The sequence below is a fragment of the Homo sapiens genome, chromosome 10 (genome assembly GCF_000001405.40).
Source record: "Homo sapiens chromosome 10, GRCh38.p14 Primary Assembly".
NCBI lineage: Eukaryota > Metazoa > Chordata > Mammalia > Primates > Hominidae > Homo > Homo sapiens.
In genome coordinates this window covers 119,883,474-119,909,217 of record NC_000010.11, presented here as the reverse complement: position 1 = coordinate 119,909,217, position 25,744 = coordinate 119,883,474, and the positions used below count along the sequence as shown (strand labels likewise).

General features: G+C 43.1%; 1 protein-coding gene across 6 annotated transcripts in view, besides 4 other annotated features; it reads right to left on the bottom strand.

Moving 5' to 3' along the window:
• SEC23IP (SEC23 interacting protein) overlaps positions 1-16,488 on the bottom strand; it is a 51,928-nt gene extending 35,440 nt beyond the window's left edge. For 5 of the 6 annotated variants that reach the window (XR_246061.3, XR_007061940.1, NM_007190.4 and 2 more), the window contains exons 1-5: positions 16,273-16,488; positions 10,259-10,791; positions 6,209-6,419; positions 4,941-5,134; positions 88-177 (exon numbers count right to left, since the gene is read on the bottom strand). Coding sequence is in view for 3 of the 6 variants with exons in the window: in NM_007190.4 (NP_009121.1) it covers positions 88-177; positions 4,941-5,134; positions 6,209-6,419; positions 10,259-10,791; positions 16,273-16,435 (1,191 nt within the window). In the remaining 3 variants the exon portion in view is untranslated. The remainder of the gene's footprint in view (positions 1-87; positions 178-4,940; positions 5,135-6,208; positions 6,420-10,258; positions 10,792-16,272) is intronic. The other variant, NR_037771.2, reaches the window with a different exon arrangement.
• Positions 16,240-16,750: an enhancer, noted in NCBI's record as "H3K27ac hESC enhancer chr10:121651980-121652490 (GRCh37/hg19 assembly coordinates)". NCBI's record gives its function as "activates a minimal SCP1, AML or CMV promoter by ChIP-STARR-seq in primed H9 embryonic stem cells {active_cell/tissue: H9 hESC(primed)}" and the evidence as "EXISTENCE:reporter gene assay evidence [ECO:0000049][PMID:30033119]".
• Positions 16,751-17,261: an enhancer, noted in NCBI's record as "H3K27ac-H3K4me1 hESC enhancer chr10:121651469-121651979 (GRCh37/hg19 assembly coordinates)". NCBI's record gives its function as "activates a minimal SCP1, AML or CMV promoter by ChIP-STARR-seq in primed H9 embryonic stem cells {active_cell/tissue: H9 hESC(primed)}" and the evidence as "EXISTENCE:reporter gene assay evidence [ECO:0000049][PMID:30033119]".
• Positions 17,262-17,773: an enhancer, noted in NCBI's record as "H3K27ac-H3K4me1 hESC enhancer chr10:121650957-121651468 (GRCh37/hg19 assembly coordinates)". NCBI's record gives its function as "activates a minimal SCP1, AML or CMV promoter by ChIP-STARR-seq in primed H9 embryonic stem cells {active_cell/tissue: H9 hESC(primed)}" and the evidence as "EXISTENCE:reporter gene assay evidence [ECO:0000049][PMID:30033119]".
• Positions 19,574-20,112: an enhancer, noted in NCBI's record as "NANOG hESC enhancer chr10:121648618-121649156 (GRCh37/hg19 assembly coordinates)". NCBI's record gives its function as "activates a minimal SCP1, AML or CMV promoter by ChIP-STARR-seq in naive H9 embryonic stem cells {active_cell/tissue: H9 hESC(naive)}" and the evidence as "EXISTENCE:reporter gene assay evidence [ECO:0000049][PMID:30033119]".

Below are 25,744 nucleotides of genomic sequence, written 5' to 3'. Positions count from 1 at the left end.
GTTACTAAAAATGAACAATTTATCAAACATACACAGAAAAATATTAAAATGAACTTAATACCTTAAAATTTTGAACACCATCATTACCTTTGGATTGTGCATAACAATTGTCTCTCCACTTGGAAACTCTAATCTTCGGTGCCACTGATTAGTGGTTACAGCTTTTTTATATTCAGCCTATAATGGGGGAAACAACATATATTCCAACATGACAAATTTATACCACATGGAGAGAAAGTATGGAGGAAAACGGTCACTATAATGGTGATAAAAATAACAGTAATAGCAGTTCTCATTTCCTGACTGGTTAACATATTTTTTATCACCTTACACATACCATTGAAGTAATTACTCTCAATCACGCCTAAGTAACAGGATCCCCATTATATAATGAAGAAAACCAAGTTTTAGATGGTCTGTTCATTTCCTAGGGCTGCATTAACAAAGTATCACAAACAGAGTGACTTAGAAAAAAAATGTATCATCCCATAGTTCTGGAGGCTCCAAGTAGAAAATTAGGTGCCAGGAAGGCAGGCCACCGTTCCTCTGAAAGCTATAAAGAAATCCTCCTTCCCTCTTCCTAGCTTCTGGTGGTGGCTGGCAATCTCTGGCTTTCCTTGGCTTGCAGTGTAACTCCAGCCTTTGCCTCCATCATCATATGGGATTCTTTCTGTGTGTCTGTCTTCACATCACAAGTTATATTGGCTTTGGGGCCCATCCTATTCCAGTAAAACCTCACCTTAACTAATTACATCTGCAATGACCCTATTTCCAAATAAGGTCACATTCTGAGACACTGGGGATTAGTAATTCAACATATTTGGGGGATGGGGAGACACAATTCAACCCATAATAGACATTTTAAGTACTGTATACAGTTGCACAAGATGACACAACTGGGAAGCAGCAATGGGAGAACTGTAGTTCATTGCCACCCAGGACTGACTTTTTCTTTTTTTTCATGTGGGCTGGAGTAATATCACCCAGGACTTTCTGACTCCAAAATCTTCACTGTCCAACCATCTTCTTACTCTTCCTCCAGATATAGTCTTTCTTTGGTTTCTGCAGGGCACTGGATCCAAGACCCCTCAAAGATACCAAAATCCCTGGTGTTCAAGTCCTTTATATAAAATAGCATTATTTTTGCATAAAACCTACATACATCCTCCCTTATACTTTAAATCTTCTCTAGATTACTTATAATACCTCATGAAATGTAGATGTGATATCAATAGTTAAACTGTAATTTTTATTTTTTATTTTCTTGAGACAGAGTCTTGCTCTGTTGCCCAGTCTGGAGTACAGTGGTGCAATCTCTGCTCACCGCAACCTCCGCCTCCCAGGTTCAGGCGATTCTCCTGCCTCAGCCTCCCGAGTAACTGGCACTACAGGCAATGAGCCACTACATCTGGCTAATTTTTCTATTTTTAGTAGAGACAAGGTATCACCATATTGGCCACGCTGGTCTCGAACTCCTGACCTCAGATGATCCGTCCACCTCAGCCTCCCAAAGTGCTGGGATTACAGGCGTGAGCTACGGTGCCCAGCCTGTGTTATTTTTATTGTTGTGGTTTTCTAAATATTTTCAGAGTATTTGGTTGAATCTGCAGATACGGAACCTGTGGATACGGAGGGCCGATCGTACTATTCTAGTTTCTATAAAGAACAAGCGTGAGGACCTCTTGGGGAGAGATTCAACACAAAGTAAGAGGGAGCCTCTGGCATATCCACAAGTCCTTTTTTTTGTTCATTTATTTTTTTAATTGACAAGTAAAAATTGTTACAAAGTCTTTTTTTTAAAACTAGTAACAGTGAGTATTTGACAATCACGTGAAAATAGAAGTATTTCCTTCTGTTTCTTGGACAATCATTGAGTAACAGTAACAATTCCTCTTCATCAGTCTTCCGTACTTTTTTTTTTTGAGATGGAGTCTCACTCTGTCACCCAGGTTGGAGTGCAATGGCGTGATCTCAGCTCACCGCAACCTCCGCCTCCCAGGTTCAAGAGATACTCCTGCCTCAGCCTCCTGAGTAGCTGGGATTACAGGCGTGCATAACCATACCTGGCTAATTTTGTATTTTTAGTAGAGACAGGGTTTTACCACGTTGGCCAGACTGGTCTCGAAATCCTAATCTCAAGCAATCAGCCCGCCTCGGCCTCCAAAGTGCTGGGATTACAGGCGTGAGTCACCATGCCCAGCCTAGTCTTTTGTACTTCTGACCCTCCTCTTCGATTTAAAAAAAAAAAAAACTTCAAATATAATTCATAATTTCTAAAAGCAAGGCCACAAACAACAAGGATTAAAGAAAGAAAACTTTCACCACCTTAAAAATTATTTTCAGGCCACGTGTGGTGGCTCACGCATGTAATCCTAGCACTCTGGGAGGCCGAGGTGGGTGGACCACCTGAGGTCAGGAATTCGAGACCATCCTGGCCAACATGGTGAAACCCTGTCTCTACTAAAAATACAAAAATTAGCTGGGCATGGTGACAGGCGCCTGTAATCCCAGCAACTCGGAAGGCTGAGGCAGGAGAATCGCTTGAACCCAGGAGGCTGAGGTTACAGTGAGCTGAAATCACGCCACTGCACTCCACCCTGGGGGACAGTGAGATCCTGTTTAAAAAATAAATAAATAAATTATTTTCACTTCTTCATATTCCCTTTCAATCCACAGCTTTATAGTAAGTATTATCTGGTAAAGATTTCACATTTCATTGTCGAAATGGTCTTGGTTATCCTTGACATTTTGATCTTCCACAAAAAATTTAGAAGCAGCTTGCAAATTTTACCAAAAAAAAAAAAAAACCCTGATGTGAATTTTGATTGGGATTGCCTAAAATTTATCTGATAATTTGGGAAGAATTGACATCTTTTATGATAGTGCCTACATGAACATAATGTTTAGCTCCGTTTCTTTTTTTTTTTTTTTTTTCTGAGACAAGGTCTTGCTCTGTTGCCCAGGCTAAAGTGCTGTGACACGATCACAGTTCACTGCAGCCTCAAGATCCCAGGCTCAAGCAATCCTACTGCCTCTGCCTCCTGAGTAGCTAAGACCACAGGCATGGGCCACCATGCCCAGCTAATTTTTTTGTGTGTATTTTTTGTAGAGACGGGGTTTTTCCATGTTGTCCAGGCTGGTCTGGAACTCCTGAGCTGAAGCAACCCACCCACCTTGGCCTCCCAGAGTGCTGGGATTACAGGCAGGAGCCACCACGCCCAGCCTAGCTCCATTTCTTGAGGTCACCTTTTACGTTCTTCAGTGTTCCATAAAGTTTACCGGTACTTTTCTTGGGCTTTTTTCCTACATTGCCTGTAGTTTTATAAATATATAGTCTCTCTGTTATAAATACATAGTATCTTCTTTTTCTATTTTTAATTGGTTATTTCTATGGCACAGGAATGTTACTAATTTACGTATGTTAATTTTATATACACGGACTTGCAAAAAAACTCTTGTATTGGTGCTAATATTTCTAGAGGTTCTCCTGATTTTCCACGTAGACAATAATCATGTCTTCATCAAATTAAAGGTGTTCTCTGTCTCCAACCCTTCCGTTGTTTTGTCTTAGTGCTCTGACAGAAGAGGATCACCAACAGGATGCTGAGCAATACGTATCATTTTGTTCCCTTTCTATTATCGGCTTTCTCACTTCCTAACCTCCTCTGCCTCTTCCCTGATCTGGTTTGAGTTTCCTGGAAGAAGCCGAACAAAAGCTAAGGTCTCCCTAGGTAGCCATGTGTTGCTGCAGTGGTCAGTATGTGGATATCTATCCCGCTTCAAAGTCTATGTCACCCATATAAAATCAAATATAGTTAAGAGAAAGTGTAGACTTTCAGACACTGCTTGGACTTGAAAATATATACTTCAGCTTCAAAATAGTAAAACTAAACATTTAATCTGGGGACATGATAGCTTCGTAGGGGCCTACCAAAAAGGTACCAAAAATTACAATATATCTTTATTTGTTTATTTATATCTAAAATTAAGCTATAGATATCAGCATTCCTTTACACTTTTTTCTTTATATATATACACACACACATATATGCACATATACAAATATATACTTTTTTTTTTTCTGAGGAAGGGTCTCATTCCCATTGCCCAGGCTGGAGTGCAGTGGCATGATCTCAGCTCCCTGCAGCCTCAACTTCCCTGGCACAGGTGATCCTTCCTCTTCAGCCTCCCGAGTAGCTCGGACTACTAGCGTGTGCCACCACGCCTGGCTAGTTTTTGTATTTTTAGTAGAGACATGGTTTCGCCATGTTGGTCAGGCTGGTCTCAAAACTCCTGGCCTCAAGTGATCTGCTCACCTAGGCCTCCCATAGTGCTGGGATTATAGGCACGAGCCACCACACCCAGCCAGAAGTTAACTAAAATGTTCTGTATCTCATTTCCTATCTATGCAACTGAATTCACTGAACGTATTTCAAATATCTAACATTCAACTCTTAAGTAGAATTAACACAAGCATTTAACACAATTATATAAAACAACATATAATTTCTTGAAGAAATTATAGATTTAAGATGGCTAATAAGACTCAAGACACTTCTTCCAATTCTATTTATTTATTTTCACAAATCAGAGGTTAATTTCAAGCCTTTTACTGAATACTAATTTGAAAATGTCCATATGCTTGGCATCTTCTATCAACAACAAATCCCAGCGGCCTAGGTTCTATTGAAGGCTTGACACAAGCACCTTATTAGATCTGTGATGTGTCTCTGCAAATCATATTCTATCTTTAGACACAGATGCCACGATTAGCACCTCATGAGTGATGACACCACTTAAAAAGTAATCTTCTCTGTGAACAGCATCAAAACAAGCTGTCTTGTAAGTAAAGTCCGCTCCACTGTGAATGATGTTACTCACCAATGTATATAGGACCTACATTTTTTAAAGAAACTCATAAAGAAATAAAGCACCCGTACCTCTAGTTTTTCACTGAACTCCTCAGTATAGGGAATAAATCGACTATCTGTGTCCCCCTTGTAAAACCAAGTACAGCGTCTCACTTCGGCTGGCTCCTCTTCCCAGTAGGCAGCCTTCCTTATTCGGTCATAGAGGTAAACATCGTAGCGCCCTCCATCCGTGCCAAGAACCACGCTCTCCGGATCTGGCTGAACTAGAGAACAAAATTAACACTTTTCCTAACTGCTGCAAGGCATATTGTAAAATAATAAATAATCTGCTGGGCGCAGTGGCTCATGCCTGTAATCCCAGCACCCTGGGAGGCCGAGAGAGGTGGATCACTTGCGGTCAGGAGTTTGAGACCAGCCTGGCCAATGGTGAAACCTCCCTGTCTACTAAAAATACAACAATTAGCCAGGCGTGGTGGCACACGCCTATAATCCCAGCTACTTGGGAGGCTGAGGCATAGTAGTTTGAACCCAAGAAGCAGAGGTTGCAGTGAGTCCAGATTGCGCTACTGCTCTCCAGCCTGGGCAGCAGAGTGAGACTCTGTCTCAAGAAAATAAAAATGAAATAATAAATAATGAATACGGTGACTACTCAATCTTTAAAGACAAAAAACTAGGCTCATTTTTATTTCAAAATAGAAGTTTAAGATTAATCTGTGCTGCTCAAAATTATGACTCTTAAGTAGAAAAGAAACAGCTAGGGCAAACTTTAAAAACATAATTCAAAGAACTGATGGATTTTTTTTATCAGAACAATAATATCTACATACAATAATACAGTGATATAATAATATATCAGGATAAACAAAGAAACACATTTCTACACTGCAGGACTTCTCAAAGCATTAATGTACTCCTGCACACCATCTCTCTCAAGACCTAGATACAGAGAGCAGCATTTCCAAAACTCATCTGACCAGGGAACCCTTTTTTCACAGAGCATCTCCAGGATAGAGAGTTCCACAGAATGCCCTTTATAAATGCCCCCATAACTACAAATGAACAAGGGAAACAGAAAAATTGAAACCTGGATTATATGAACTGCTCAACTTCTCTGATTCAAAATACCTTTAAACTACGAAGTAAATTACTAAAACATTTCTTCAAATACCTTACCCAGGTAACTCAGGACTTATACTAATATCGTCACCTTAAGGTACAGAGTCTGGGGTCTATAAGGATTAAGGTATTTGACATTCACAGAAAATAGATCATGAATAAATGATCTCATTCCTTCTCTTCCTAAAATCAGATATGAATGATGTATGACCAATGTTTACCTGAATTATAGATTTCTTCAAGATTCAAAGAGTCGAACACACTAAAAGGCATCCACAGTTGTTTGTATTCTACCTCCTTGCAGTAAAACCAGTGGGGCTGAACAGGCTCATATTGGTTTTGAAGTAGAAAAGGAGATGGCACTTGAACAGAGGGAGCCCCAGGTCTGGCAGGTACCTGCTGCTGTGCCGGTGACTGCACTGAAGAAGGAACCTGGAGGGGACGGCAAAGTTAAGACTGTCATGCTTGTCCAAAAGAATTCTGAATATGCTTCACACCCAAACTGATGTTAGTAGATTATCCTACATGTATATCTGGACAATTACTTAGTGTAATAACTAGACCCCAAAGCAATTTTAAGAAGAATTTTTAAACCTAACAAAACCCCAAATCAAGGATAAATGCTTGAGGTGAGGGATATCTATACCCCATTTATCCTGATGTGATGATTACACATTGCATGCCTGTATCAAAATATCTCATGTAACCCATAAACATATATACCTACTATGTACCCACAAAAATTAAAAATTAAAAAATTTAGAAAAAAATCAATTACAAGGTGAACCAGACCTTCTCACAGAACACAAAGTAAACTAACACCTTTACAGAAATCAATCTAGCAATACATCTCCCATGATTTATTTAACCTTTTTTGTGTGTGTGAGGCGGAGTTTGCTCTTCTTGCCCAGCCTGGAGTGCAACGGCGCAATGCACAGCCTCCGTCTCCCGAGTTCAAGCGATTCTCCTGCCTCAGCCTCCCAAGTAGCTGGGATTACAGGCATGCGCCACCACACTCAGCTAATTTTGTATTTTTAGTAGAGACAGGGTTTCTCCAGGTTGGTCAGGCTGGTTGCGAACTCCCAACCTCAAGTGACCAGCCCGCCTTGACCTCTCAAAGTGTTGGGATTACAGGTGTGAGCCACCACACCCGGCCTATTTAACCTTTAAAATGTGCCTACTCCTTGACCTACTCATTCCATTTCTAAAAATTTATCCTAAAGATAGAATTATAAAAACAAATAGCCCAGGTGCAGTGGCTCACACCTGTAATCCTGCCACTTTGGGAGGCTGAGGTGGGTGGATCACCTAAGGTCAGGAGTTCGAGACAAGCCGGGCCAACATGGTGAAACCCTGTCTCCACTAAAAATACAAAAATTAGCTGGGCGTGGTGGCACAGGCCTGCAATCCCAGCTACTTGGGAGGCTGAGGCAGGAGAATCGCTTGAACCCGGGAGGCGGAGGTTGCAGTGAGCTGAGACTGCACCACTGCACTCCAGCCTGAGTGACAGAGACTCTGTCTCAAACAATAAATAAAAAATAAAAATAAAAAGTTATCCCCAAGGATATACATCAAAAGGTTATTTAAAATAGGAAATTGGTGTGTACAACTGTCAAAACTCAGCTAATTGTACACTTTAAATAAATCGAATTGTATACTGTAAATGGATGCCTTTTACTGTATGTAAATTATACCTCAATAATGTTGATTATAAAATCATAGCTAATAAATTTGGAATGTTTGCAAAAAAATAAATAAAATAGGAAATCACTGGAAATAATCAAAATGTCTAACAGAAACCTGATTAAATAATATTTAACTCAAATGCTAGATCCTCCAGCGCCATTAAAAATGTCTTATATCCTTTCTGCAGGAGATAGCTAAAAAAAAAAATAAGTAAATAAACAAAAATAAAAGTTTTAGAGGATAGACACGATGGTTCACACCTATAATCCCAGAACTTTGGGAGGCCAAGGAAGGAGGATCATTTGAGGCCAGGAGTTTGAGCCCAACATGAGCAACACAGCAATACCGTTTCTACAAAAAAATCTAAAAATCACACGGACATGGTGGGGCACACTTGTAGTCCCAGCTACTCCTGAGGCTGAAGTGTAGTTCAAGGTTGCAGTGAGCTGTAATCACACCACTGCACTCCACCCTGGATGACAGAGCAAGACCCCCCCCCCACTCTTTAAAAAAAAAAAAAAGAAGAAGAAAAAGAAAAAAATTTTAATGTTTTAGAAAAAATCTTAGTAACATTTAAAGTATGTTCACACAAAAAAAAAATAGATTATAGAAACCATAGGTATTATATGTTTGCCAAAAAAAGACATATAACAAAATGAAAACAGTGGTTATCTATGGACATTTTTTATTAAATTGAGTATTCTGCATTTTTCAAATTTTCTACAAAAACGATTTTAAAATCAGACTAGACTTATTTTAAAATTTTTTAATTAGACACCATTTTGGGACAGGTGTGGTGGCTCACACCTGTAATCCCAGCACTTTGGTAGGCTGAGGCAGGAAGATCACTTGAGGCCCAGGAGTTTGAGACTGCAGGTGAGCTGTGATTGCGCCACTGCATTCCAACCTGGACAACAGAGTGAGACCCAGTCTCAAAAAAATATATAATTTAGCCCATAATCCCAGAACTTTGGGAGGTCAAGGCAGGAGGACTGCTTGAGCCCAGGAGTTTGTGACCAGCCTGGGCAACATAGTGAGACCTCATTTCTACAAAACATAAAAAAAAAATTAGCCAGGTATGGCAGCATGTGCCTGTGGTCCCAGCTACTGGTGAGGCTGAGGTAGGGGGATCACTTGAACCTGAGAATTCGAGGCTACAGTGAGCCGTTACCATGCCACTGCACTCTAGCCTGAGTGACAGAGCAAGACCTGGCCTCAAAAAAAAAAATTTTATATATATATATATACACACACACACACACATACACACACACGTACATATACATACACATATATAATTTCTAAAAAATCATTTTGAAGTATTACATCAACACTCAATTTCCTGAGATTCATAGCTGCACTGTGCACATAAGAAGAATGTCCTTATGCTTAGCAAATGTACACCAGGAATTTAGGAGTAAAGAATCATAATGTATTTTACTGACCTTCAAATATTCCCCCCAAAATTGCATATATACAGAAAGAGAAAAAAACGATGAGGGGAAGGGAGGGAAGAGGGAGGGGCAGGAGGAGAAGCAGGAGGAAGGGGCAGGAGAAAGGGATGGGGGAAGAGGGAGGGCTCACATATGCCAGGGTGTGCACATGCACAAATTAAAAAACAAACGGGATGAAATGTTAATGATAAGTAAACCTGAGTAAAGGATATTAGAGTGCTCTTTGTACTCTTTTTATTTTTGCAACTTTTCTTCAAGTTTGAAATTATCATTTTTTAAACTTTTATCTAAAAACCTTTTTAAAAATTTAAGCAACAAACTACAATTAGTTTGTTATAGTTAGCAAAAATACTAACTATATACCACATGCTATGAATCTGGTTACTTTTCAGAATGCCGAAATCCAACATTGTCAAAAATTTGTGTATTGGTATGATTTAAATGAAATGATAAAACAGAGTCCATTCTCTATCTCTAACAGAGAAGTTAGTTACATTCTGATCACAATACTGCTATCTCCACCACACTGAAATGGGTTCTTAATTCTTTTTAATCATTTCTCTTTTTGTTTAATTCTGTTGATTTTTCTTTGGAAATCAAATAAACAATTAGTTGGGAAAAATGCATAAGGGAATTTCATGAAATTTACCCAATGCATACGTTATTCCACCAACTCTCCCTAGATAGAGTTTGACTGATCTAGATCCAAACTCCATAAAGAAATTACTGAAGTAATCAATTTTAGTCCCTGTAATTGAGTGTTTTGATTGACTAGTGTAATTGAAAGATGAGAAACTAGCAGTCTGTTAAGACAATAACCGCTTCAATTCTCCTATGTCTCTAGACAACACTTATTTTTACCGTACTCTAAAATCTGGAAATACTGACACGTAGCTAACTCATTAAAATCAGTTACTGCTTCAATAAACAGGTAATATACACTAAAATATGAGCCATCCAATAAGCTATCTTTAAGACAATGTTTACTTCATGTAGCTTACAAAGAATACCCTCTGAAACTAATTTGTCACCATATTGATTATAAGATGTGAAATGTTTTTTAAAACATAGGTTCAGGTGAGAAAGAAGACACAGAGTGAATAAGTAGGACACAAAATCATGTCTCCATACCGGTGGCAAAGATCCTGGAGGCATCTGGTACATCTGAACAGGGGGTCCAGAAGGTGGAGGATGAGCAGGAGGGCCTGGTGTTTGGCACTGCTGCAGCTGGGGTGGTGCAATGTAAGGATTAGCCCTGCTGCTGCCAGGGGTATGGCGATATGGATTGTATCCTGGTTGGGGAATTCCTTGGGGTTGGTTCCCAAAATATGAAGGAGGGAGACTACTTGGCTGAGAAGGCAGATAAGAATTTATTCCCATCAGTGAGGAAGGTGGAGCACCAGGTTGAGCCTTCGAAATGGATGGTGAAAATGCATTCGAGACATCTTGGGATCCAGTTGTAAAAGGGAGAGCAGTCAGGGGCTTGGGGAATCCTGATTGTCCAACTGAGGTTGCTGCAGTTGTTAATGGTGACTGTCCAATATTCCCAAAAGGATCACTGCTGCTTGATACCTGAGAGAAGTAACTAAATGTCTGTGGGGCAGATGTGTGAATAGAAGTCTGACCAAGGAAGCTGTCCTCCTCACCAACATCTGTGGAATCCTCTGAAATGGAACAGGAGAGCATGTGGTTTAAAGGGTACTCTATCACTCCGCAGATACGATTCTATAAGGAAGGGCTAGCAATTATACTTCCTTATTTGTTCTTCAAACTTGCTATTTCTGCATTACAGAAAAAAACAGTTTTTTCTTTTTTTCTTTGAAAACTTGCTTCTTAGAAATGAAAAACTAGAAAACATGAATAAGAAAACATAAGAGGAAACAATTATAATTCATTCATAAGCCCACCTGCCAGAGACAATCACGCTGTTAACACTGTTAACATTTTGCTACATACCCTTCCATACTTCTAAAATAAATACAAATAGTTATTTATTTTGTAAATATATATTTGTATATGTTTTTAAAAATAGAAACAAAATCTATACTTACTATTTTTATTTATTTTTTTTTTTTTATTTTTTTTTGAGACGGCGTCTCGCTCTGTCGCCCAGGCTGGAGTGCAGTGGCGCAATCTCAGCTCACTGCAAGCTCCGCCTCCCAGGTTCACGCCATTCTCCTGCCTCAGCCTCCCGAGTAGCTGGGATTACAGGCACCCACCACCACACCCAGCTAATTTTTGTATTTTTTTTTTTTAGTAGAGATGAAGTTTCACCATGTTGACCAGGCTGGTCTTGAACTCCTGACCTCAAGTGATCTGCCTGCCTTGGCCTCCCAAAGTGCTGGGATTACGGGCATGAGCCCCCGTGCCCAGCCTTACATATTATTTTTTATCTTTTTTTCTTGGTAAGAAATAATTCAACTGTTACTCGACTACCCAAATACATATATTTTTATTTCTATAGTGATAACAAGAGACTAAAGATAACTCTGTTGACAAGAAGGGGTGTGTCAGGAATCTCACCTACAAAGCACTTATTGTACAAATGAACACGTGGTATTTGTATTCCCAAGTAGGTCAACCATTAATTGCCATTCCCTAAAATCATGCACTATCACAGACTTATCATTACAGAATACCAAATTGCTGAGAAGGTCACTTTCTAACCAAGGGAAGATCTCCCATCCCTTTGCCCAACTTGATGTTCACTGTGGGTATTAACGACTCCAAATAATTTAGCTTCTGTTCTACTACCAAGTTGTAAAATAAAAGCATCTTCCCTGTATATCACCTCAAAAGTCCACGTTACTATTATTCCTTACGAAACTTTTATGTTCCCTAGCTTGTAGCTTTCATATTCCTCCTCCTAATCTTCCCTGCTCCTGCCTCATTCCCTCTTACCTCCTTGCTGGAGGCATGGAATCCATCAGAGGGCTGGACTCACTCACAGCACACAGGCACACTTCGGTCCCTGCCCTTGGAGACCTGCCAACAGGCAGCCTTATTCCAAGCTCCGGGCTCCAAGCTTCTTGACCTCTGCTGAGACTAGGGCTTGAGCTTCTTGAGCTCTCATTATTTACACACATCAGTTTAACTAAAATACTCCACCATTCAAAATACTCCTTTTGGTAGTTTCTTTGTAACTAAAAATAAAATATCCCTTGCTGCACAAGGCCTTGTGTCTACTTGAATCATTCCACTTCTCTGATATATTTCCAGCTCCCACCCCTCTTTTCAGGTCAGTGACCCTCACTTGGACTTATTTGTATTTCTTAGTTCATTCCCAACAATTAAAAGAATGAAAAAAAAAAAAACTCAGTGGTATCTTTCATCCTTTAGAAAAACTTGAGGTCAACCTGGTCCGAGAAACTTTTTTTCTGATTAGCATCAACTACAAATGAAGTGCTCTCCATATACTGCTACCCTCACCTCAGGGGCACTTTCTCATTTCATTTGGACACATGTCATCTAAAGCCACAACTTTAACAGGCACTTGTATATTTGTGACACTCCCAACTCCATCGTAAGCCCAGACCATTCTCGTGTGTTCCAGAACTTGTTTTCCAACTACTTCCTCAATGTTTTTGGCAGATTCAGTCACATATACCTCATGCTTAGTAAGCCTAAAACGGAGTTTATCTTAACTACCCACCTCCATGCTCCCTTTTCTGTATTTCACAATCTCCACAGATGTTTGCCAACATTCATTCAGACATTCAAACCAGAAACCTCAAGTCTGAGACTCCTCCCTCTCTCTCAAACCCTTCATTTAATCATTCAAATATTTATTCAAGAAATATTTACTCAGGATGCATTCTGTGCCAGGTACAGAGCTCAGTCTTGGGTCTAAAACTAAACAAAAATGGGCCTCTGTTCTGACAGACAGAGCTGACACTCTGGTCTTCTGTGAGTCTCTACAACTGTATAGTCCACACATCTCGCACATCTGCTCCCTGCTCCTCACACCCAATGTGGCTGACTCAGGCTAGACTGCCATAGCCACTGCCAGCCTCTCACTATGCCTCCCAACTGAATCCTCTTGCTACAGTCAACCTTATTCCAGTGCGACTAGAGAAAACTCCAGTCTTTCTGAAACACACGTCTAATTTCACTGCCTTGTTGAAAATCCTTCAAAGGCTCCCCAACACCCCACAAGATGAACTACAAACTCCTCCTGAGTATGGCATATGTGGCCCATAGATCACTGAGGCCACTCCACTGCACACACTCTAGTCAAAGTGATCTACTGGGGGCAGAGGACACAGGGGAGAGGAGACAAAGGTGAAGGGACAGGAGAGAGGGATGAGCTCCATCCCTGTCCCATTCCACCAACCACTAACTCCTGCCAAATCTGAAGATTTTTTCACACCTTCAGACTTCACATATGCCTGTCTCTCCAGTTTCCCTCACTTCTATGTATCCTTCAACACTCAGCTCAAGCATCACCTCCCCTAAGAGGCCCTGAAGGCCTAAGGGACATCCATTCCCCGGCTCAGCCAGCCTGATACCCGTAGCATTCATAGCCATCTATCAATCCCTCTTTCTAACTGTTCTAAACCTGTATCACAGTTGCTTACACAGGTGGGTGTGTGTGTATACACACATACTGTGCAGTCATTGAGGGCAGGGCTGTCTGCTCTTCTGTGTCTCCCAGGTTCTGGAACAGTGCCTGGCAAATAGAAACTGCTCAATCCATGTCTGGTTTTTGTTTTTGAGATGGAGTCTCACTCTGTCGCCCAGGGTGGAGTGTGCAGTGACATGACCTCAGCTCACTGCAACCTCCTCCTCAAGCGATTCTCATGCCTCAGCCTCCCGAGTAGCTGGGATTACAGGCGCCCACCACCACATCCAACTAACTTTTGTGTTTTTAGTTGAGATGGGGTTTCACCATGTTGGCCAGGTTGGTCTTGAACTCCTGACCTCAGGTGATCCACCCGCCTCAGCCCCACAAAGTGCTGGGATTACAGGCGTGAGCCACTGTGCCAGGCCTTCCATGTCTGCTGAATGTATGAAATTGCTTCCTGTGTCTCTCTTCCACTTATATGATTAACTGTTGCTTCCAGGGAGACAGGTTCTTCTTTTGTCTCTGGAAATTCTCTGAATGGGTTTCTGAGATTTTTAGAGATGAATTTTAGTTCTAAAATTATTAATATTCACACACACACACACACACACACACACACACACACACACACACAGACTGTCTCCAAGAAACAAAAGCATTAAAGACAGGTGTAGCTATACCAGACTTAACAATGAAAACGTTTAGCATGAATTCACAGTGACACACACAAACCAAACACTACATAGCAAGGAAGACGGACATAACCAAACAACTTTAATGGTGCAGAGGATAATTAGAAAACCCCAAGTATAGCCCTATTTATTCCTGCATCCTCCCACAGCATTCTGCTCCAACCATGCTGGTTCTTCACCAAAGACAGCAACACCTAACCTTTCAACCACAGGTCAAAATGAGACATCATTTTGACTCCCATCCTTTCACTCATTCAACAAACATCTACTGAATAATTGGTCTACTAAATACCACACACCATTCTAGGCAGTGGGAATATAATCGTGAATAAAAGTAAGTTTTTGCTTTCATGGTCTTACATCCTAGTGCAGTGGAATAAACAAATATGTGTACATGTCAGGTAGTGACAAGCATCAAGAAGAAACATAACACATGGGCAGGGGAACCTTCATGTACAGCTGTTCCCAGTGTGCCTGTCTTCGCTTCTCCATGAAACTGTCTTTCATCCTTCAAACAAGAATAAATTATTCACTGGAAACTCAGCATCCAAAGAGGATCTATGTACTAGGCCCTAAATAAGATCCTGGAGATAAAAAGGCAATTAGGTCATAGCTGCTGAAGAAGACTGCAGTCCAAATGGAGAGGCAGGTGTGTTTATTTCACAAACATTAAATCACACTGTCTGGCACGCACTATACTTAGCGCTTTGCAAAAATTAAAGCATTTCTAATTACAATTCTGTGAGGCTACACATACATAGAAACTGAAGCACAGAGAGGTAAAGTAAAATGCCTACAGTCACACAGCAAGTTACTGGCAGGGCAAGGACTGGAATACAGACAGTCTGTGCTCTTAAACACTATGCTCTGGGCAATGCTACATAATCATCAAAAAGCAATCTCCCTGGACAATAATACAAATATGAAAAAAGAGCTAGGAGTGCACATAGGAGTGGGGGCCTAAGAGAACAAGAAACAGCTTCTTGGAAGAAGTGATGTATTGTCTTGAAAGATGAGGAATGGGTGGGGGGTTAAACCTGTAATCCCAGCACTTTGGGAGGCCAGGGCAGGCGGATCACTTGAGGTCAGGAGATTGAGACCATCCTGGCCAACATGGTGGAACCCTGTCTCTACTACAAATACAAAAATTAGCCAGGCATGGTGGCAGACGCCTGTAGTCCCAGCTACTCGGGAGGCTGAGGCAGGAGAATCACTTGAACCTGGAAGGTGGAGGCTGCAGTGAGCCGAGATCGCGCCACTGCATTCCAGCCTGGGCGACAGAGCAAGACTCCGTCTCAAAAAAAAAAAAAAAAAAAAAAAGATAAGGAATGCATTGTATATGTCTACTTCACAAATATTACAGGCTTCTAGAAGAGGGGCACAGTCCATCTTATAAGATATCTTACTGTAACCTAGAAGATATTGTACTGTATCACAACAATCTCCTAGTAGGAGACAGTGTACCGTATCCTAGGAGAGGGGCACAGTCCATCCTAGGAGGTATCTTACCGTATCCTAGGAGTCTCCTAGTGGGAGACAGACTACTGTACCCTAGGAGAGGGCCACTGTTTAATTTATTTGCATTTCCTGCCAGCACCTGGCGTACCAACAACGGGTATTCAGCAAAGATTTGCGGAATGCCAGGGTACGAATGAATGTCCAGCACTCTGGACAACTCGGAACAGGGGGTTTCCGTGAAGAGCAAGTCTCATCACCTGCCACCTCCAAGATCCCAAAGCCCCCGACCCACTCAAACCTGGCCAGTAATGATCCTGGCAAGCTATCCAGAGGGTAGCTCGAGGCAGAAGGAAAAACTCCCGTCTGACCTTTGTCATTGCACGTCCCCCGCCCGCCTCCCACCACACACGGGGCCGCCCTCCCCTTATTACCTCCCGGTAAGAGCAGGGAGGCCGGAGAAGCGGAGGCCTGGGTGACTGGGATGAAGGGCACATTGAAGCTGAACTCCGTGGCCGAGGAGGAGAAAAGTAAGTTAGTGCCCGATGAGGAAGTGGAGGCGCCGCCGCTGCCACCGTTAGGTTTTCTCTCGGCCATGGCTGCGGCCCACCGTCCGATACACGTCTCCGGGTACCCGGTACCACACCACTGACCGGAAACCGATCACGCTCCTGGCCAGCGCACTTCCGCACTTGCGCACAGGAGCCGAAATTACGGGTAGCTAGTCAGCCGCCCTCTCCCTTCCCCTACACGGCGACGCCAGATATCAACATGGCGACACTGTCTTCACGCCCGCGTCTAGCACGTGACACCCTCGGAGGCGGAGGCCGGGCGGGAGGATGGGGACGTGGTCCCCGCAGGTTCTGGATAGACGTGCGAATTGAGACGCAATTGACCCTGAAAGTCACAGGTTGTGGCGGGTATCTATGGGCTTCCTAAAGGTACCGTCAGGATGGCTCTCCTGACAAAGATTTTGGAGGAACAGCGGAATCCTGCTGGACGCTACCGGAAGGAGGAAGGGAGGAAGAGCGTTGTGCGGGAATGGGAATTCGCATGCTAGGCGGAACCAAACACCCTCTCCAAAACCCACTTGTCTTTCTGGATGGAACCGAACATTGTGGTTGACCCAGAAATAGAAGTGGTAAAACATTTTTTAAGTGTTTAATCCATAGGGAGAAAAAAATATTTCGTTTTATTTTTGTTGTTTTTTGTTTTGCATTTGTTTTTTGTTTTTTTGGTTGGTTTTGTTTTTTGTTTTGAGACAAGTCTGCTGTGTCGCCCAGGCTGGAGTGCAGCGGTGCAGTCTGGGCTCATTGCAATCTCCGCCTCCCGGGTTCAAGCGATTCTCCTGCCTCAGCCTCCGAGTAGCTGGGACTACAGGCGTCCGCCACCACGCCTGGCTAATTTTTTGTATTTTTAGTAAAGACGAGGTTTCACCGGGTTGGCCAGGATGGTCTCAATCTCCTGACCTCGTGATCTGCCCGCCTTGGCCTCCCAAACTGCTGGGATTATAGGCATGAACCACCACGCCTGGCCAAAAAAAATATTTAAAAGAGAAATCAAACCAGACGCCATGGCGCAGGCCTGCAATCCCAGCACTTTGTGAGGCAGAGCGGGAGGATAGCTTGAGCCCAGAAGGTTGAGACCAACCTGGCCAACATGGTGAAACCCCGTCTCTACTAAAAATACAAAAATTAGCCGGGCTTGGTGGCATAGCACCTATATTGCCAGCTACTCAGGAGGCTGAGGCGGGAATATTGCTTGAGGCCAAATTAACCCTGATCTTGCCACTCACTGTGCAGCGAGACCCTGTCTCCTTAAAAAAAAAAAAAAGAAAAAAAAAGAAACCAGGGCATTGAAATTAGAGATCTGACATTTTAGATAGCTTTCTATATCCACAGTAAGCTGACTTACTTCAATCCAGGAGGTACTGTGGATAACTTGGACATAATTGTCATCTTTCATAGTTAGAGATTTTGAAGGAAAATATAACTTAAGCCATATTTCAGCTTCTTGGAGGTTGGGAGAGGAGATACCAAAAGAACGCTCAAAATAATGAAACTCTGCTCAGCTGTTTACACATATATAGAACCTAAGTTTATTAATTCAATAACGATTTCATGTGCTTACTGTCAAGAAAAATTTTTTAAGTGGGACACTCGTTAAAGCAGTAAATTAGATTTTATTTAATGAAAACTATTGCTAGGGAATTGGGTCCAGCATGAACTGAACACAACTTTGCTGAAACAAAAATTTGGAGGCTTTTTAGAGGCTGTGGTGTGCTAAGGGAAAGGTGCTGAGGAGTGTGAAGGGTTGGTTCGTCCTGCAACTAGGCCATCTGGGTGTGTTAATCCATGCTTATCCAGAGGAGACATAATTTTTCTGTCTTCATGACAAGCAGTGGTGTAAGAGAGCAAGGTAGCCACAGGGACTGGGAATGAGAATGAGAACCACCTCCTTGAAGGCTTGCAATTCAAGAGACAAACCCCCAGGTCCTTGAGAAGACAGTTCTCAGTGGTCATGTGTCCGGAGTTGGTTCCTTCCGGTGGGTTCTTGGCCTCACTGACTTCAAGAATGAAGCCGCGGACCTTTGTGGTGAGTGTTACAGCTCTTCAAGGTGGCACAGACCCAGAGTGAGCAGCAGCAAGATTTATTGTGAAGAGCGAAAGAACAAAGCTTCCGTAGCGTGGAAGGGGACCTGACTGGGTTGCTGCTGCTGGCTCGGGTGGCCAGCTTTTATTTATTTATTTGTCACTGCCCTCATCCTGCTGCTTGGTCCATTTTACAGAGCGCTGATTGGTCCATTGTAAAGAATGCTGATTGGTGCATTTACAATCCTTTAGCTAGACACAGAGTGTTGATTGGTGCATTTTTACAGAGTGCTGATTGGTGCATTTACAATCTTCTAGCTAGACACAGAGCACTGATTGGTGTGTTTTTACAGAGTGCTGATTGGTGCATTTACAGTCCTTCAGCTAGACACAGAGCACTGATTGGTGCATTTACAATCCTCTAGCTAGACAGAAAAGTTCTCCAAGTCCCTACTCAACCCAGGAAGTCTAGCTGGCTTCACCTCTCAATCCCCCCTCTAAAGAGGACACCCCAAGAGCTGTTGGGAATTGGGCAATGACCTCTGTAGCTACTTCCTGCTGGATGGGTTGAAGAAGGAGCCCTGCAGTTGTAGTGTCCTCCAGAGGGGAACTCTTTATGCCAGTCAAAGGGCCAGCGGGTTGGTGCAGGGGTCCTCAGTAGAAGTTGTTAGTTGAGCTCATTGGGGTTCCATTTGTAAGACCATCTGTAGCTTGATGGCCTCAATCCTAGAGGAAACAAATTTGACAAGGAGGTTAAAAATACAGGGCCCGAAGGTGAATAATAGCAAGATGGCCATCACAGGACCTAGAAAGGGGAAATGCCATATCGCCCAACTCCAGAGGTTGATATAAGAGTTTGAAAGGCGTTGTCTGATTTCAGAAGCCTTTTCCTGTAAACACCAGGCGGCACCTCATCCTATCCCTGACTGGTTAGTGTAAAAGCAACACTCTTCCCCTAAGAAGGTGCAAAGTCCTCCTTTCTCAGCAGTGAGGAGGTCTAGGCCTCGGTGGTTTTGGAGGGTCACTGCTGCCAAAGAGTCTATTTGGAATTGTAGAATAAGGATAGATTTTGTTATTTCTTGCAAACTGTCTGAGAAATCCTTTGAGAGTGTGTGGTAGTAGGATAATATATGTTACACTGTTAACTTTTAGCAAACTTTACTTTTGTTGAAAACCTTGTAAGTTTGGGATTTCAATTATTCTTTGTATTAATAAGACCTTGTTCAATCCATATTAACTTACAATTGGTATAGATGGCTTCTTCCTGATTCTGTGAGTACTTTAAGGTTTGGCTGAGTACTGATAGCTGGAGCACGTTTGAACAGACCAATTATTAGGCAATTTTCCTAACTCTGCTTCTACAAGAGTTTCCTTATCACTTACTGAATACTCATTGTGTCTTTCTCCCTTAATCGCTGGGGAGGAACCAGCTATAGTCCTGTCCTGAAGGGAGTTCCTCCTAGATCTGGTTGGACCTTTGTATGGTAATTAAGATTTAGATCCCCTGTTAGGAAACCTGCTGGGTTAAGGATTTTTGATAGGAAGGCTATGGGTTGTCAGTGGCCTCAGTGCTTTCGGGCTATGCCCTTGTTTACACTGACAACCAGGTGGTGTTGGAGTGTTACAGGGTCATGGAGAAGACCTTCAATTATCAATTATAGGTTTTAAATTTACTCTGGCTTTTAAAGGAATAGGGTACACTGTTTTTTCTTTACTACTTCTCTCCCTTTCTCTCTTTCTTTCTCTTTGACTTTCTGTCTCTTTCTCTCTTTGACTCCTTTTTTGTCTCTGTCTCTTTCTCTCTCTCTCTTCGACTTTCTGTCTTTCTCTCTTTCTTTCCTTCTCTCTGCTGGTCTTTCCCTGCTTCTGCCAGCCGCATATGCTGCTATGCTGCTGTTCTCCCCTCTCCTTCCCCTTTTTGATGGCTTCAGCAGTGTAAGACTGCCACCTCCTTGGGTTTTTGCACTGCATGCAACAACTCCATGATTTCCTTGTGGTATTTAGTGGGGGTTCCCCCGGAGGTTAGGAACTCCCTTTCTTTCCATATTGCAGCATGGGCATGTAGGATTAGATAAGCATAATTGCTATCTGTATACACATTTATTCTTTTTCCCTTTCTAAGGCTCAGGTAAGTGCCAGTAGTTCTGCTAACTTGGTGCTGGTCCCTGGGGGAAGAGGCTTACTTTCAAGTATTGTTACATCACTAACTATGGCATAACCTGCTCTTCGTATCCCATTCTCCACAAATGAACTTCCATCAGTATATAGGTTAAGGTCAGGATTAGCTAAGGGGACTTCTAAGCGATCCTCTTGGGTAGCATAACTCTGGACTATAATTTGTTGGCAGTCATGCTTGATTGGTTCTCCATCCTCTGGGAGAAAAGTGGCGGGATTGAGGGCCACACATATGCGTATTTGAAGCACCGGTCCCTCAAGAAGTAGTGCCTGGTATCTGAGCAGGCAGTTGTCTAATAGCCATAAACTTCCTTTGGCACCTAGTATGCCATTTACATCATGAGTAGTCCAGACAATGAGATCCTTTCCTTGTATTATTTTGATAGCCTCTGACACTGAGATGGCCACCATCACAACTACCCATAAACAGTGAGGCCAGCCTTTTGCTACTATATCAATTTCCTTACTTAGGTATGCCACTGGTTGTGGGGTTGTCCCTCAAGTCTTGAGTAAGGACTCCAAGAGCTATTCCTGCTCTCTCTGTGACATATAAAGAGAGGTTTTTGTCCTGTGGGAAGGCTTAAGGCTGGAGCTTGTACTAGGGCCTGCTTTAAAGTTTTGAAGGCTGTTTCTGCCTCTGGTTCCCATTCTACTAGATGAGTATTTGCCCTCTGGGTCTCCTTGATTAGAGTATAGAGGGGTCTGGCCATCTCACTGTATCCAGGGATCCATAGTCAGCAAAGCCAGTGATTCGAAGGAACCCCCACAACTGTTTAAATGTCTTAGGGTAAGGATAAGCCAGTATAGGCTGTATTCGTTCCTTGCTGAGGGCCCTGGTTCCTCTGGCTAAAATTAGGCCTAGATATTTGTCTCGTTATAGGCAGAACTAGGCCTTCGATTTAGACGCCTTGTACCCTTGATTAGCTAGAAAGTTTAAGAGATCTAGGGTAGCCTGCTGGCATGAGGCTTCCAAACTGGTAGCCAAAAGTAAATCATCCACATACTGAAGGACTAGAATGCCTAGACTTGAGAAGTGGCCTAGATCTTGGGCAAGTGCCTGACCAAACAGATGAGGGCTATCCCTAAACCCTTGGGGCAAGACCATCCACGTAAGTTGGGACGTGTGGTCTGTGGGATCCTCGAAGGCAAAGAGAAACTGGGAGTCAGAGTGCAGGGGAATACAGAAGAAGGTATCCTTGAGGTCAGGAACAGTGAACCATTCTGCTTCCTCTGGTATTTGAAAGAGCAGGGTATAGGGGTTGGTTACAACTAGATATAGAGGAATTACTGCCTCACTGATGAGTCTAAGATCTAAGCACTAGTCTCCACTGACCATTCGGTTTTTGTACTCCTAGAATTGGGGTGTTGCAGGGACTACTGCATTTTCTTGGTAAACCTTGAGCTTTTAGATGTCTAACAATATCCTGTAATCCTTTATGAGCTTTAGGCCTTAAGGGATATTGTCTTTGATAAGGAAAAGTGGTGGGGTCTTTTAGCCTGATTTGGAGTGGGTGGGCATTTTTTGCCCTTCCAAATTGTCTTTCCAATGCCCATATTTCAGGGTTGACTCCCTCCTCAAACAGGGGGCAACAAATGGGTAAATTGTTCCCCATATTCATGTAGATAATAGCTCCAGCTTTGGCCAATATGTCCCTCCCTAATAAGGGTGTGGGACTTTCAGGCATAACAAGAAAGGCATGTTTAGAGCAAAGTCTCCCAGTTACAACTGAGGAGGTGGGAGAAATACCTGGTTACAGGCTGTCCCAGGACTCCTCAGATGGTAACAGACCTTGAGCACACTGTCCAGTACAGGAGATTAACACTGAGAAAGCCACACCAGTGTCCAGGAGGAAGTCAATTTCCCAGCCCTCAATAGTTAAACATACCTAGGGCTCAGTGAGGGTGATGATATGAGCTGGCGCTTGCCCCGGACACCCTCAGTTCTGTTGTTGGATCATCTGTTTGGGGGCTTCTGGCCCAGAGAACCTTTGTCCTCTGGTGCAGTCGCCTTCCAGTGATTGCCTCGGCATAGTGGACATGGGCGAGGGGGCAGCTTGTTTCTTGTTGGACAGTCTTTTCTAAGGTGTCCTTGCAAACCACACTGATAAAAAGCCATACCAGGTGATTGGCCTGCTCCATTTTCTGTCCTCTCTGAACCACCAAGGTTTGTTTGTTTGAGGGCCATGACTAAGGCTGCAGCCTTTCTCTGATCTCGCTTTTCCTTTTTGGCCTGTTCCTCTTGGTCCCTAGTATAGAACACCAAGGTTGCCAGGTTTAATAATACCTCCAGATTTTGTTCAGGGACCAGGGCTCGGTTTTGGAGCTTTCTGCTGATATCTGTGGCTGATTGCGTAATAAACTTATCTTTTAGGATCAATTGACCCTCGAGTGAGTCGGGTGACAGGGGAGTATATTTTCTTAAGGCCTCCCATAGCCACTCAAGGAAGACAGAAGGATTTTCTTCCTTTCGCTGAGTTATGGTGGACATCATTGAATAATTCATGGGCTTTTTCCTAATTCTCCTTAGTCCTTCCAGAACACAGGTCAACAGATGTTTGTGACTTCAGTCCCTGTGATCTGAGTCAGGGTCCCAGTGGGGATCCATACTGGGGACAGCTTGCTGATCGGTAGGGAATTTGTCCCTTTCCAGGTATCTCCAAACTCTCAGGCTGCAGCTAAAGCTGCATTCTTTTCATTAAAGGCCAGGGTTTGATCTAACAATAGCATGACATCTCTTCAAGTGAGATCGAAGGTTTGCCCTAGACCCTGTAGGACATCTGTATACCTATCAGGATTATCTGAAAACTTTCCCAGGTCTGCCTTGATCTGCTTTAAATCAGAAAGGGAGAAGGGGACATGTACCCAGGTTGGGCCAAACTTTCCTCCCCCTACAGCTTGAAGGAGACATAACCAATAGTCCAGGGTGTTTTGTGGTCCCTTGGAGATTTCTTTGCTTGTTTTCTTCTGGGTGGGGGAGATTAGAGGAGGCTTATCATTAATAGGAAGGGGAGCTATAGGGAGGCTAGGATATAGGGGTAAGCTGAGAATTCCTCTTGTGGACGGTAAATTGCAAGCTTTGCATAGTTGTGGATTCTCCTTCAATGAAAAGAAAGCTTGAACATAAGGTATTTCACTCCATTTGCCTTTCCTCTTACAGAAAAGGTCAAGCTGCAGGATAGTATTGTAATTTATACTTCCCTCAGGTGGCCATTTTTCCCCATCAGAGAGAGAATATTGGGGCCAGGCCACAGTGCAGAAAAAGTGAGCCGCTTCTTTTTCAGAGTTTGTGGGTCAAATTGGTCTCAGTGGCTTAGGATGCATTTCAAGGGTGAGGCTGTTGGTGCCTGAGTGTTTCCCATCTGAAAGAAAAAACTGCCTGTAGTTTTGGTTTGTTTGTTTTCCCCCTCTTGCCCAAGAACCTGCAATGGTCCCTGGAACCTGCTGATCAGAATAGTTGTGCTCACTGACACAGCAGAAACCCCTCTTGCCCAAGAACCCGCAATGGTCCCTGGACCCTGCTGATCAGAATAGTTGCACTCGCCAACGCAGCAGCAGAAACCCCAGTTTTCCTCTTAGACCACAAAGAGGACCAAGGAAGGTTGGATTTAGTGGCCCTTACCGAAGCATTCTCGAAAATTAGAGTCCTAAATGTTCTCCTGTTAGTATTGGGAACTTACCCCTGTCCTATAAAGGTGTTATGCCCCAAAACTGAAGTGGAGGGCTATACCCTGAGGAAAGGAAGGGATCTCCAGGGTTGGAAGAGTGACTTTTGTCCTCACTTCTCATTATATGAATAGGAAGGATAACATTTCTGAGGCTCCCCATATCCTAGCTTCAGGAATAGGCTTTGTTAGGCCTGCTTGTTTGAGGAGGGATCCTAAAAGGATAGTTGGTCTCCTCACCTGATGGGGCTTTGCACAAAAATTATGTCTTTCTGATTGGTGAGCCCAGGTGCCTAAGGAAGGGAACAGAGTCCTGAAGTTTATACTAGAAATCATTCTTATAGGAGAAACTAGAAAAGCACCAGAGGCAGGGAGTGGTTTTTAGAAGCAGGACTAGCCTTGGAGAAGAGAGGCAAGAGGAAGTTTGTCTGACAGGCGTTAGGACCCAGGAGGCAAGGGTCAGGATAGATAGGATAGATGAGCAAGTCTCACTTGGGCGACGTGACTTTGAGAGTTCCACTCATGGCTACAGGGCCAACCAACTTTTTGTTGGGACCCTGGAGCTGAGTGGCTTTCCTGTCAGTCAACCCTCGGCTCAGCCCAGAAGTACAGGAAAAGTGGAAGCTGGTTCCAGGCAAACCAACACTCCCAACTCCAAAGAGTCGGGGTTGTTGGAGAGCCCTTTCCCAGAAAGCCTGACACCCATTTCTTTAGTCCAGCAGCCATGCTAGTTTAACTGGCCGACAGGTGCCCAGGATTTAGCCCCCAAATTCTAAGGAAACATAGGAAAGAATAGCAAGCAAAAGAGGTCCGTTGTTACTCACTGCTTGGCAGCTTGGCAATAGTCCCTTCGTGGTTGCCAAGATTTGTCCAGAGTTGGTTCCTTCCAGTGAGTTCTTGGTCTTGCTGACTTCAAGAATGAAGCCACGGACCTTTGTGGAGTTACAGCTCTTAAAGGTGGCACGGACCCAAAGAGTGAGCAGCAGCAAGATTTATTGTGAAGAGCAAAAGAACAAAGCTTCCACAGTGTAGAAGGGGACCTGAGCACGTTGCCACTGCTGGCTGGGGGTGGCCAGCTTTTATTCACTTATTTGTCCCTGCCCACGTCCTGCTGATTGTTCCATTTTACAGAGTGCTGATTGGTCCATTTTACAGAGCACTGATTGGTCCATTTTACAGAGTGCTGATTGGTGCATTTACAATCTTTTAGCTAGACACAGAGTGTTGACTGGTATATTTTTACACAGTGCTGATTGGTGCAGTAAAAGATTTACATCTTCAAGTAGCAGAGGAAGGGTTTATAATTCCAAGCTTTCTAAAGTAACTGCTCCAAGGTATAGTAGGGGACAGTAAGCTACTTTAACAGAAAGACCCAAAAATGCAATGGCTCAAACATGATAGAAGCTCAGCCCTAACTCACATAAGAGTACCTGTTGGTGACCAGCTTTCTGTCCTCAACATAGGGCTGCCAAGGCTGC